We start from the raw sequence: 14574 nt of genomic DNA on the forward strand, positions 1-14574 counted from the left end.
ATTACATTGCTTTTATACTACTACTACTAAGAAAAACAGAAAAAGCGTATGTAATACAAACATAAGACAATTACAAAAACACAGAACCCAGAAAACAAAAGCACAAAAATACCCTGAGTGGTAACGAATACCCTTTATGAAATAGAACCACCTTTCTCACCTTACATTCTATTATTCCTATCATAAACTCCTCAAATCTCTTCCTTCTGAAAACAGCTCACTTCCCCAAGAGTTCCATTTGCTAATTCTTTTTCGTAGTAATGTGATAAGAGAGAAAGCTAACATTTTTTATTAACACTGATCGTTTGCAAATATAGTGCTAATTGACTTTATGTACTGAGATCCACACTTGACTGATTCAAAGGTCTGATTGCAGGAACGCTATGAAAGCAATAAAGGTGATAGTCTCAGGCAGAGGTGGGTGTGTGAAAGACGGCCTCCTCGCAGAGGCTAGACTCTAGCCCGTCCTTTGAATAACCACATGCACTGGGATTCTCCCTTAAGTGATCTGTGCTTTTCCTTTTCTTGAGGAACTTCCTCTGCTCCTGTTACAGCACATTTTGTTTCTCTATCCTTCTATTTCTACATGGTGGGACTTCCATTATAAGTGCATTCCTACCTCTCCTCACCACTCCTACCACCACCTCACCCTCCATTTTCTGCTTTCCATGGGGAAAGGAGTAAATTTAAGACAAGGAGTGGCACAGTGCCAGAAAGGCCCTTTTTCTTTTTCTTTATTGGAACCAACCTTTCAGCAAGATGGAGGATTCTGATCTGTCCTGTGACATCTGGCCTGCCTCTGTGGAGACTTCTATCCACTACTAGGAGAATATATCTGTCTAATTCCACAGCAAAGTATGAGGGAGCCCATTTTGCCTGTTCTACCCTTCATCCATAAAACAACTGCTTCTACACCTACCTGTTTGATTCTTGTCTCTTGCTTGGTTCCAAACTAAGAAGTAGATATGAAGTATTATTTTTTGGTCCTTTCCCTGCTCTAAACTTCCATGTCTTTAACTAACACTTTCATATCAATGATCCAAGATATATCTCATGGGGATATGGTTTCTATGATATTTTTTGTAAAGGGCTTTCAGAGTACCTTCTAGATAATCCATTCTAGGATCTTTGTTTAGTCTACGATTTCCAAAATTCAAAATTTCATCCCCTGAAATTCAAGTGAATGACCCTTCTCAAAACTAATCTCTATGCACAAAGATTATCACAAATATATATGCAATCATTATGGAAGTAATTTGCATAAGAGGAAATGTAATTTCTCTGGACCAGACCCTAAACACCAGTTTGTAGAGAGCATGCTGCATCCTCTCTTGAGAACAAGTTAACTTTATTTGATATATAGTATAGCAAATGCAAAATTTATGAAAGAACTAAAAACCTCTTGTTTCTGCAGCACAATTTGTATGCGATCTGAGGACATTTATTTAATAAAGGGAAGCTCTAAACAAATTTGAGTACATTTAAATTTTGTTCCCCCACCCAAATTGCCTAACCTGTCTACATAGATACATATACATAAAGTTTGATCTATGGTTATTTCATTTCTGTGTTAAATCTGATAATGTGACACATATTATCAGATGTGTCACAGGCCACATTATTGCCCTATTAAAATATTTGCAGCTTGAATACTGGTACATTCTATAGTTTTTACAAATCATTTAAAAGTTGCATTCCATGGAACTAGCAGGTAGTGCATTCAAGCTAGTGTCTACCATTAAACAGTGTACAATTGTCATAATTATCTACATTATTTTCCTTTAAATCATCAATCTCTGACTAAATTGCTTTAATCCATAGGTCCTGATATAGAATTCCTCTACTGAGCACAATTTTTTTAGTATAAGAAACTGACCAAATTATTAATTGATAAGACATAATTATAAAATCCACAGTCCCTTTAAAGTGGAACTTATAGAGCTCTAAAACATGTTTTTAAAAAACAAAACAATATAGTCCTAGTGGCACATTTGGTCATGATTTTGTCCAAATAAGACAAAAAGTTTGGGCATGCAGAACTTTGAATTTTATTACAGTATTTTTCTTTCCCAACATGTTTTAAACATATTATGGATACTGTTGAAATAGGGACAATTATGAAAAACAAAAAGGAAATAAAAAAAAGCATCAGACAGATTTATTACTTTATACAAATTGAGAAATTTTATAGCTGCCATTGAAAAAAGAAGAGCAGGACTATGTATTTTCTCTATAAGCAATATCGTGTGTGTGTGTGTATGCGCTCATGTGTGTTTTTCTTAAGTCCACAGAAGGCCAAGTGTCTCATTTTTCATCCCCCAGAAAAGGTAAGCCTTTTGATTACCTATTTAAAACATAGATTAGCAAATTTCTCTACTTCTTTATTCTCTTCTCTGGGTTCCTTCTATCTTCCCACCTTAACTAAAACTAGACTGTCTCATATGGTCTCTGTTTCCTCCCACCCTACGCCCTTGGAGTTCTCTCAGGTGACTTCTTTCTCCTATACTAAATGAGACTCAGTATCTGGAGACATCAGCCTTCATTGTTCTGATAGATTTTCTATATTGTCTGTAGGTCATTACTTTTCTACTCACTTTCATAAACTCCTTTGAAGCTCATTATATTTGGATTTTGTTTGTGATCATTTTTTCAATTTCATAATTATACTCACTCTCATTAATTGACAATTTGCAAAACTTACTTACTTTTTTCACTGATATCCTGTCATTATCTAAGGTACTTCCATGTCCACATGCAACACATGGATCGCTCGGTCCTTTTGCTTCTGCATCATGCCCAGTGATCCCCTCAATGAGTTATTTTTCTCCTCCTCAACTCCACTCCAGTCATTAGAACTGTGGCCACAAACCAGGTCTACTCCACATTTCACATAATAAAATCTTTAACTTCAAAACTCTATTCTTCTAGAAATCTCACTCGGTGATTTCCAATGCACTAGTTCTTCCATATTAACAGGGCCTTATAGATCAATGGGGAAGAGGCCATATCTGTTAAGTCTACTAAAATAGCCCTGAACCCTATACATAAACCTAAAAAATAATAGTTGCTCAATAAATATTTATTGAATGAAAGGATGAACCGTTCTACTTTCTCCTTAACTATAACTCTGTATTATCTGTCCTGAATGAGATTAGATTTCATGCTCAAAGATAAGTATTGGTTTATCTCAGAACTAAACTTCCTTGCTCAGCCCTCCTTTTGTCACACCTGCATGGCATGACTGCAAATAAGCATGGCTTAGTGCTGTTTAAGAACACATTCCAACACATTGACAGGGGTACGATATAAATACATTTTGAACGTCCATAGATCTTTCACCACTGCCCCTAGAAATCCTATTTTGTCTTCTTACTCAGCTCACACAGCCATTCTCTACCAGAAAACTGTCAAACCATTTCCACAAATCATTCCACCTCCTGAACTTTATCCTCAGTATCTAGCTTCATCTCACAACACAAAAAGTAAATAGAACCCATCAGATGGGAATCTCTCAACTTTTCATTGTCACACCTACTTTCTACAATGTACATTCCATATGGGAATGAACTTGCCCCCAGTATGCTGGATTCCATCTCTGTTTTCTCAGGAATATGAATTTATTGATGATCACCATTCCCCCATGCTTAATCTCTTTCTACTGGCTCCTTTCCATCAGCCTTTAAATATACTGAAGATTCTCTCCTCTTAATGAAGCAAAACAAAACAAGCAATACTCTCCCTAATTGCATGTTGTGTTTCAGTTTTGCCCTAACAGATTCCTTGCAGTTTAACTCTTCCAAAGTTGCTTTTTTCATTTTCTTTTTCCTCTATCTATAAGGAACCTACCATCAACTGGTTCTTATCTCCATCACTCTCCTGAAACTGCTTGCACCATGGCTACTATAGACATCTACATTAATAAGCAAAGTGGATCCTTCTCAGGCCTTATTTGCTTGAATGTTCAGCAGTGTTAGACATCTTCACAACTGTCTCTCCTCTAAACATCATTTTCCCTTGTGTTTCAGATTTTCATAGTTTTGACTTTTACCACTCGGACTGCTCCTTCTCTCTGCCCTTTGCTGGTTCCTTCTACTCTACCCACCCCTTAACTGATGGTATTCTTTAGGGCTCTGTTTAGTCCTCTTCTATTTTTGCTCTGTATACTCTCCACTTGAGTGATTTCATATAATCTTGTGCCTTTGATTACGGTGCATTTGTTTATTAATTACACATATGCCTCTCAGGTTTCTGATTTAATCTCTAATTTGATTTGATTAATATATTAAACTGTTAGAAAACTCCACTTTCTACTTGTAATTGACAAGCACAAAATTAAACTTATTTTATCCTAGTAATCTAGTCCTAAGGAATCCTGAATTGGGTCATGGCCCTGCATTCCCACTACACTACCTGATATGGTTTTAATTTGTGTCTCCACTCAAATTTCCTGTCAAATTGTAATCCCCAATGTTGGAGGAGGTGGCTGGTGGAAGGTGATTGGATCATGGGAACATATTTTCCCCTTGCTAATCTTATGACAGTGAGTGAGTTCTCATGAAATCTAGCTGTTTAAAGGTGTGTAGCATCTCCACTTTTGGTCTCTTTCCTCCTTCTCTAGCCATGTAAGACATGCCTGCTGCCCCTTTGCCTTCTGCCATGACTGTAAGTTTCCTGAGGCCTCCCCAACCATGTTTCCTATACAGCCTACGGAACTGTGAGTCAATAAAACCTCTTTTCTTCATAAGTTACCTAGTCTCAGGTAGTTCTTTATAGCAATGTGAGAACGGACTAATACACTAACCTAAAGCAGCCACTGATGCCTCTCATCTGGATTACTACTGATAGAAGCTGCTAACTCTTTCTTACACCTAGTATTTCTCCCCTTTAATTCATTCATCCTTGCCTCTCTTTAATTGTTGCCATAGTGATATTTCAAAACTGGAAAACTGATTTTTACATTTGTATTTTAAACACTGCAATGATTTCCCAATGATTTTAGGTAAGATCTAAAATTCATATAGTATTCCAGGCCTTCCAAAATCCAGCCCCACTTATATCTCTACAACTTCATTTGGAATCTTCCTCTTGCTCTCTATGTTCCAAATATATTGAACTCTTCTTATATTTTATGCACCCCTTCCCAATTCCTTTAATACGCTCTTTCCCTTGCTTCAAAACATTCTCATCCTCTTGGTCTGGTTAGTTTCTACTCAACTTTTCACTCATTGTGAAACCACCTTTGCAAAATTATAATAACAAGAGGACTCTAGCATGGCTGACACCATGTTGTTTCTAGCCTCACAGTCTGGCTGTCCTTGTTAATACCTGGGCATAGGCCTAGCTAACCATAGGAGGAATTTAGTTTATAGGTTAACTTTAAAGCAAGAATGAAAACGGTCCCTCTCTAAAATTAAGCCCCTCCTTGCTCAGGAACTGAAGTCCCCTTTGTAAGACTAATGAAAGTCTACAAGATTAGGATTATGGGAAGGGGGTGAATACTGCTAAGATGTAGGTGCAGTTTGCCTTTCTATAATCATTTACTGTGCCAGATGTCACACGATTTGTTACTTTTCCAATTGCTCCTATGGATAACATCAGTATTGTGGAACATAAAATTGGTCTTTTGAGATGTTTCTTAGACTTTTGCATTCTGGCAACCAAGTGACTCTGCCTGAACACATGACTCATGACTCAACTGGTCCTGTGGCCCCCACCCAGAGGCTGACTTAGCACATGAAGACCATTTTCCAAACCACTGTGATTTTATCCACAACTGATCAGCAGCATCCATTCCCTAGCCTCCTGCCCACCAAATTATTTGTAAAAACCCTAGCCTCTAAGCTCAACAAGTGGGCGAAGGATATGAACAGAAACTTCTCAAGAGAAGACATTTATGCAGCCAAAAGACACATGAAAAAATGCTCATCATCACTGGCCATCAGAGAAATGCAAATCAAAACCACAATGAGATACCATCTCACACCAGTTAGAATGGCGATCATTAAAAAGTCAGGAAACAACACGTGCTGGAGAGGATGTGGAGAAATAGGAACACTTTTACACTGCTGGTGGGACTGTAAACTAATTCAACCATTGTGGAAGTCAGTGTGGCGATTCCTCAGGGATCTAGAACTAGAAATACCATTTGACCCAGCCATCCCATTACTGGGTATATACCCAAAGGATTATAAATCATGCTGCTATAAAGACACATGCACACGTATGTTTATTGCGGCACTATTCACAGTAGCAAAGACATGGAACCAATCCAAATGTCCAACAATGACAGACTGGATTAAGAAATGTGGCACATATACACCATGGAATACTATGCAGCCATAAAAAATGATGAGTTCATGCCCTTTGTAGGGACATGGATGAAGCTGGAAACCATCATTCTCAGCAAACTATCGCAAGGACAAAAACCAAACACCGCATGTCCTCAATCATAGGTGGGAATTGAACAATGAGAACACATTGACACAGGAAGGGGAACATCACACACTGGGGCCTGTTGTGGGGTAGGGGGAGGGGGGAGGGATAGCATTAGGTGGTATACCTAATGTTAAATGACGAGTTAATGAGTGCAGCACACAAATATGGCACATGTATACATATGTAACAAACCTGCACACTGTGCACATGTACCCTAAAACTTAAAGTATAATAAAAAAAATAAAAAAATAAACTGGATGCATAAATAAATTAAATAGTATGTTAAATAGTAATAAGTACTAAGAAAAACAAGCAGATATACCAGGCAAATTCAAAATGTTCATATTATGTATTTGTTGGTTAGTTGATTGTTTTTGCAATTTTACTTGGAGCTATGTCCAGTTGGTTCTCCTTTGCTTGAATATATTTAGGAGATCAGGAGGCTAGCCACTTATCTACATCAGGGAAGAGCATTTCAATAGAGGAAATAGCAAGTTCAAAGGTTCTGAAAAACAACCGTAAGTATTGTGTTTCTATCATAACAGGGTCAGTAGGGCCAAAGCAGAATGAGCAAGAAGATTGGTAGAAAATAAATTCAGATAGTAAGTAACTGGGCCAGACCATATAGACATTAACAGACATTGGAAGGATGTTGGATCTTACTCTGAATGAAGTGGGAAGCTACTGGATGGTTTCATGCACTCTAGATGCTGAATTGAGAATAGACCCAAAAGCAGTAAGGATGGAATCAAGGAAGTCCGTTAAAAGGCAATTGCAACAACGCAGGCAAGAACTTAAATAAAAATAATAGGAGTGAAGATGGTGATTAGTTGTGTGATTGGGGATACATTTCAAAAATTGAGCTCTTATGATATGTTAAAAGAATATATGTGGGATATTGGAGTAAGAGAGATCAAGAATGTCATCAATATTTTTTGCCTAAGTACATAAAAGAATGTAGCTGCTACTTAATGAGATGTGACATGAGTCAGAAAGTTAGATTGAATATAGTTCTGGAGCTAAACTATATCAATTTCTAGTATAGGATTCAATGTAGTGCAAAGTCTTCCTGCAGCCAAGCCAGGGTAGCTCCATTTTGGCATATGTTGCATCAATGTTAGACATATCCCTTTATTAAACACTTCTAAGTAATTCCCCTTTGTTCTGACTCTGCAGTATTGACAGCAGAGAGCTCTGTACTGATTTTATTGCTTATAATCAGTCATACAGAATGTTACTGTGGATCAAGACCTAGGCAAAAATTTAATGAAAAGAAAATAATATGTGAATATCTGTGTGTATATACACGCACACATACCCCCACACCTACAAAATGTATTTTACCTAAACAATGTATTATCGAAGTATCTAAATTTTGATACTTTGATACTGGGAAGACAAAAAAACAGTTTTGAACTTATTGCAGACATTTAAGAAAATCATTTTAAAATGGAAAAAGTCATTTTTAGATTTAAGAAAAATTGCCATTTTCTTTGAAAACCACCATTACATATACCAGAATACACAAATCAGTGCATAAATTCAAGGAGAAACATATGTATAAGTAGATGTAACAGCTTAAAGCCATGGATGAAATGCCTGCTGTGGAGGCTGAGTGTGGTAATCAAAAGTAAATGCTGCTGAGGAGTTTCTCCCAAATCAAACCAGGGAACTAACCTCATCTCTTCTTCTTCTTCTTCTTCTTCTTCGTTTTTTTAATTCTTATGGATAACTCTGATGCAAGACTTAAGCAGTGCCTCAAAATTAAGAGCAAAGAAATAGAAGAGAAGATCCACGTAACTCTTCATTTGTCTGTAAAAGTTAAAATCCTACTCAAACACAGCTAAATAAGATTCATTCAAAAAATAATATACATTTACATTTGAGTTTTAATAGCATTTCTCTGCTCTTTTATAACAAAATGCTGAAGTTTTAACAACCAAAACAATTAATTAAAAGTAAATCCTACTCTTTAATTCTCAGGGATGCCTGATACCATTTGTTTAACATGGAATGAAATAGGATAAATGGGATGTACTTTTATACTCTGATTTGAGATGTCTTTAGTAGAAACTTACATTGTGACTGAGCTTGCTTATGCTTTGATCACAGTTCCTATGGTGAAGACCCGTACCACACATTTTCAGAAATAGTTTTCTGGAATCTTTTTGTTGTTAGGGTTATAAAAGACATACCTATCTTGTTTGGCTTTGAATGGTAGTGAATCTGCTAAGATTCACTGCTTTCTCACGCTATAAAGTAATTTGCCATTAACGTAGATCCAGATGAAAAAGCGAAATGTCAATAGGACCATATAAAAACAGAAAATGATTTGCAACTTTTATGATGGATCTTTATTTGGTTAATTAGTTTTTAAAATAAACTGTCATGTATTTTAAATAGACTTATATTGGTATATGTTAAGATGTTAATGGTATCTTCCATGTTTATACATGGCCATGAAATAGAGATGCTTGTATATATTGTATTGATTTAAACATACGCAGTTGTGTAAATGTGGGTGCAGATCTCTAGCTTTCCCTGAACCAAACTGTAGATTCAGTGTTTCTTTACTGGGACTCCTAAAGGGAATTATTTATTCTCAGTGGATCTGTTTTTAATCTATAAAATTGGGATAATAATAACTAATATTGTTGCAACATAAAATTTTACAGTATGCCTCTATTACAAATATATTGAAAATAACTTGGAAAATGAATCTTATGAATTAATATTACAAGAAACAAAGCTCACTAATTTGAATTGTTCTTTCATTGTGTTATCAAACAGTTTTATCACATTTTAACTATTTAAAAAATAATTTACTTTTGCTTTATAGAGAAACAAGATGATGTAAAATAGTTTCCATAAAAGCTAAATTTAAAAGGAGTTTGATGTATGCACTGCCAAATATCCTACACATTTTGGCAAAGTTATGCAGCACTGAATGATACAGTCGATTTTGGCAGCTGGAACCAGAGTTGAAAAGGGAGCTCTGAATAAAATATTTTACTTTATATTTCTAATAGAAAATGAACCTTTCTATTAATAATTTGACAATGACAATCCATCACGCCTCACCTCATCTACACCTTCTACCACACATCATCATTTTAAGTCGCAGAAACAATGATTAGGTGCAGCTGTAAAACACACTGATTCATAATGAAAGGTTCATTAGTCAGCTAACATGAGCACCATCAAAAAATTGCACAATGAAATCCGGGATTTCCCTTTTGCCCACTTTTTGGTACTCAGTCTGTTTTGGCCTGAGGTCTGCATGCAGACAGATGCCCAGAATTGATTTTTTTTGCACCCTAATGGTTCCCTTTCCCCTTTTGCATTAACTTGATTGAGGTGGACAATGATTGTGCTGATATTCTAAATGGATTGTGACTCCCCCGTGGAATACCTGAATCAAGGAGAAATGCAATTTGGGCCGACATTTTTTCCACATTGGCTGTTTTATCTGCAAATACCATGTGAATCCTGAGCAGGGTATGAGTAGTGCTGAAATTAACTGTTTCCCACTTACATCGTCTTCAGTAGTCTGAAGAAAATAGCACTGACTTGGGAATCATAAAACATAAATACCGCATCCCTAGTGGGTCTCATGTTTTCTAGATTACCCTTTCAGTCATCTAAGAATAATTCCTCAGGTCCTGGCCCAGTCTCTCTCGTAATGAAAACCAGAGGTTTGGCACACAGCTCTAGGCAAGGCTGCTGGAGCTCTGACAAGAGCGACGTGATACATGCACCACGAACAGGCAGCAAGAGTTCCCAGGCTCACTTCACAGGCATCCAAATTACTTTTGCATTTAATCTTACACCCCTGGTGCTGATATTATTTTACATTATAAGTATTGTCTTTCCAGTGAAAATGTAGGCTGTCACGGAGAAGAATATTCTTATTTTACCAGGAATGAAGCAGGCAGGGCATACATATTTGCAAATGTTGGGCCTTTGAGATTCTTGCCAGTATCACCAGGTATTCAATTTTGACTCTCTTAAACCTCTCATTCATTCCTTTCCCAGCATCTCTATGCCTTTCCTCCTCTTGTTTGCTCTCTTGTTCTTTTCTAGGCCATTTTACTTTTCATTCTAATAACAGCAATCCCCCTTCTTGATCCCTTTTACCCTACAAAGAGTTTGAAATCACAAAATGATAACACTCATAATAGGAGAAGGAAGAGTTCAAAACAATGATCCAGTGGGGAATAAGTTAATAAATAAATCACCTATAGAAATACTTATTATAAGATAGACATTCATTTACTACTCTTTCTCAAAATTCATTTGGGGCCCAAAATGTTAAAATAATTGATAAAAACTCTTACCAACTTTGGACAATGAGTAGATGTGAAATACTATATAAGAGTTTCCTGTTTCAAGAAAGTGAAAAACATAAAATTGTTCAAGAAAATATACTTAAAAGTACATTTGATATTTCTAATATTTTAAATAAATGACAGAGAAACATCTCAAAACAATAATTATAGGTATTCCCGTATCAATACGAATTGTTTATTCATAATAAGATTAATATTTCTCTGAGGATACACCCATTGCTTTTTATTTCCATTAACAGTCTAACCCTCTTTACCTCATTACTGTAAGAGCTTAGTTATCGGTATCTCATTCTTTGGTCCTTAAAATAAACTTGATGTTTATTTTGTCTTTTAGAAAACTTTTAAATGACACTCCATGTCTACAGCTGTCTTCAAACTGAAAGCAAGCTTCCTAAGGTGTTTGTAAGAAGTTCTGAAGTGTTGTAAGAACTTGTTACTCCAAGTATGGTCAAGGGACCAGCAGTCTCAGAATCATCTGGTAGCTTGTAAAATGCAAGCTCTCAAGTTTTAACCTAGGCCTGTTGCATCAGAATCTGCAAAATGTTTTCCAGCTGTTTCATGTGCACATCAATTTTTGCTCATATATTTTTATCTAGAAAATAAGAACTACATTAAGCAGTATTAATTTTTAGTGCAACAATTGATAGTGGAAATCTCACTCAGTTCATTTGGTATATATACTATTCTGTAGGCAGGTCAAGATTAACCAATGCAAAGCCATGCTCAACCTTTTCATATACTGGAGTTTAATGTATTGGAGTTTTCCTATACATTGATAAAGAGAAGGCAGGAGTATATAATCTAGAGTGGCACAAGCCAATTTTTCCCAAACAAATATATGACTTGAAAAGTATATAGAAAACATGAATTGAAGGCTGCACAAAGTGTGCAAACTCAAATGAACAAGAAACTGACAAAGCTGATTCATTTTTTCCTGGTAAAAACTCTCTTTATGCCATATTATGGGGTAGAAGACAATGACAATCTAGCCATAGCTAATGAGAAATTGATAAAAAATTAAATTAGAGAATATTATTTGAATTATGATTTGCATCAACTATTACTATATAAATGCATTTTGTACTTTGAGGTTTGCATTGATCAAATCCTAATATTCCCTGAAAATATTATATATACCAAGTAGACTGAGAGAGGCTGCCAGTATCAACTTGTATACTAAATATTAGTAACATGTAATGTGTTTATTTTCTAATAGTTTCAGGCTTCTCAGTGAGCAAGACAGTTTAAAACTAAAAATTTTATTAGTAAAGACCAATTGCTTCCACTTTTCTAATAATATTAAACAGCATAATAAACCATCACTTATCACTTTACAGAAATTTCCTAAAGTAAATAATATTTTGAAGTATATTTTCTAATTTCTACCTTAAAAATGAAATAAATAAAAGATGAAACCATATCATTAAAGAAACATTTCTTCTGCCCTGGTCAAAAAAAATGACTGAAATGATATCTAGACAACACTATCATAAAAACTTAAATAGATTTGTGAGTAAACTTTATGTGGAGGAAGTTACACAGACAACGTTGCTGAAGAGACAGAAGAACCAGCATATCAAATTATATAATTTGGGAAGGTTGTTCATTGTGGGATGCAAAAACAAACATTTATATTGTTTTAGCTTATGAAAAACATCATTTGAGCTAGTAAAAAGATGTGTGGAGGAAGTTATGTCCTTAATCGTGTATGACACTTAACAAAAGTGGTGTTTTGTGGTGAAAAAATTACTGTTAGTGTAGCCACTGATGAAGTAGATTCTGGAGTAAGGTTACCGATACACAGCACCGCAAATAACATTCACTCATTGTATTCCTGGACAATAAATGCAGGAGAGAAACTGAAGCAAGAAAGGCCCCAACTGCTACAGGCTATTTTAGAAATATTTAAAAATAAACAAGCAAGCAAACAAAAAACACGATCTATACTAAATTCTTAATTATACTCTGTAATAATAGTGGCAGTGAACACAAGCATCATTTATACTACAGGTTGTTTTGTTGGTTTTCTCATGTAAATAACTTAAAAGAAGCAGATTTAAAGGTAGCAGATTTAAAGATCTAAAGATTGAACTGTTGCCTTTTATAAGGAAAGAAATCCATTCATGGCCTTCTAATAGAATGTTACTTAGCAGGTGATACGGAAATACTGGAAACACAGTTAATCTGTTTTTCCAAGGCAATATTTTTAAGCAACTGAAGTACCCATGGATACCATGTACACTTATGTTTGGAAACAAAATTTTTTCACTTGTTTAAAAATATTTTAGATAAAGTTTAGTAGGTTTTAGATGCATTTGCTTAAAGTTCAGAAAAAAAAGTCTTCCAGTCCTTTTGCCAAATAACTGATTGACCTTAGCAAAGATAAAACATAACTAGCTTAGGAAATGCTGAAATTTTCAACATCAACAACATCACTTTCTACAATTGGTGAGTGAATCTGAAATGACTGTAACGATTTAACAAGAATGGAGAATGAGAAACTTTTTCCATTTAGATTTACCTGTTTTGTTGTGAAATTATTTTGCACACAAGACAGCTTGCACCAAAATTTAACTGAACTCAGAACCAGAACTTTGAAATATTGTATTACAAAATGTTTAATCAGAATTAAAATTTAAAAATGAAGCATATTTTTAGAAATCATAATTGATATTTAAATTAATGATTAACAAAATCGAGTAATATTCTTGTAATTTACATTTTTGTATTTCTCTTCTATAAAGCAAAGAAAAATAAATGGAGTTCCTGGGGAATACTGAATGCACTCTGAACTTCACAATCTTCCTTTTTTCTTTTTAATTTATATTTATATTATTGTCTTATAAAAGTTCATGTTTTAAAATACAGTTAAAGCGTTATTTACGTAATGTATTATAATAAATTTAATTGTGATACAAATATTCTAAAATTAGTGTTTGACTATCATTATGTTTTTATTTTCTCATTGCTTTATCTTTGGTTGAAAATATGAATACGAACTGTTTTCTTCTGCATCTTACTCTCTTCACCCAAACATTTTAGCTAAGTAAATAGTTATCCACCTGTATACTGATTGGCAGCCATAACTCATGTTCAGTTCTTTTATCATTGAATCAATGCTCTATTCATCACCGGCAGCCTTCTAGGAGTCACCCATTTTTGAGCACTATTTTCTGTTGAATATCCCCTTTATATTTTCTTTTCTGTCTCCTGAGATTCACTTAATCCACTGATTGTTCCTCAGATTTATCTTGTAACCCACCAATTTGTCCTCAACAAGGTGATGGCAGTTGACCTTTTTATTCATATCTCTTTCTGTCCGCTATGACAACTTTCAATTTCAGTTAGCTACTCTACTGCAGCTTCCTCAACATATACCATACATAGTCTTATTTTGCAGTTTGCTCTATTTCATCCTTAAAAAATGTTTTTTCTTGGCCTCTCTGCATATATAAATTGTTTATTTCCTTTAAGACAGTTTATATTTAATTTTGTCTCTTTTCAATATACTGAACTTATTTCCTTTCCTTAAATCCTATAGTATTTATTCCCTATATTGATAATTTGACAGTAAATCCCTTATTTCCTTATGCTATATAGTGTCATATTTTACTGTTGCCCTATTACAGACATTGATTATTTTACTCTTTATTTTCTTAACTTTCATAATCATAAGCTTTTTCTCTATGAGGTTTCAACTTCCTTGAATGTAGGTAACTCCCCTGATTATTGTGCATTCCCAAAAGTACCTACCATGCTGTTGACAGAAAATAGATTCTTCTTAATAAGG

General features: G+C 34.9%; 1 protein-coding gene across 6 annotated transcripts in view; it reads right to left on the reverse strand.

Annotated features, from left to right (window-relative positions):
• The window catches only part of THSD7A (thrombospondin type 1 domain containing 7A), a 461834-nt gene that overhangs the window by 346443 nt on the left and 100817 nt on the right, over positions 1 to 14574 (reverse strand). For 2 of the 6 annotated variants that reach the window (XM_047420039.1, XM_047420040.1), the window contains exon 2: positions 8113 to 8247. The exons of the other annotated variants lie outside the window; for them this stretch is intronic. The gene's annotated coding sequence lies outside the window, so the exon portion shown is untranslated. The remainder of the gene's footprint in view (positions 1 to 8112; positions 8248 to 14574) is intronic. 6 annotated transcript variants of the gene reach the window in all.

The sequence above is a fragment of the Homo sapiens genome, chromosome 7 (assembly GCF_000001405.40).
Source record: "Homo sapiens chromosome 7, GRCh38.p14 Primary Assembly".
NCBI lineage: Eukaryota > Metazoa > Chordata > Mammalia > Primates > Hominidae > Homo > Homo sapiens.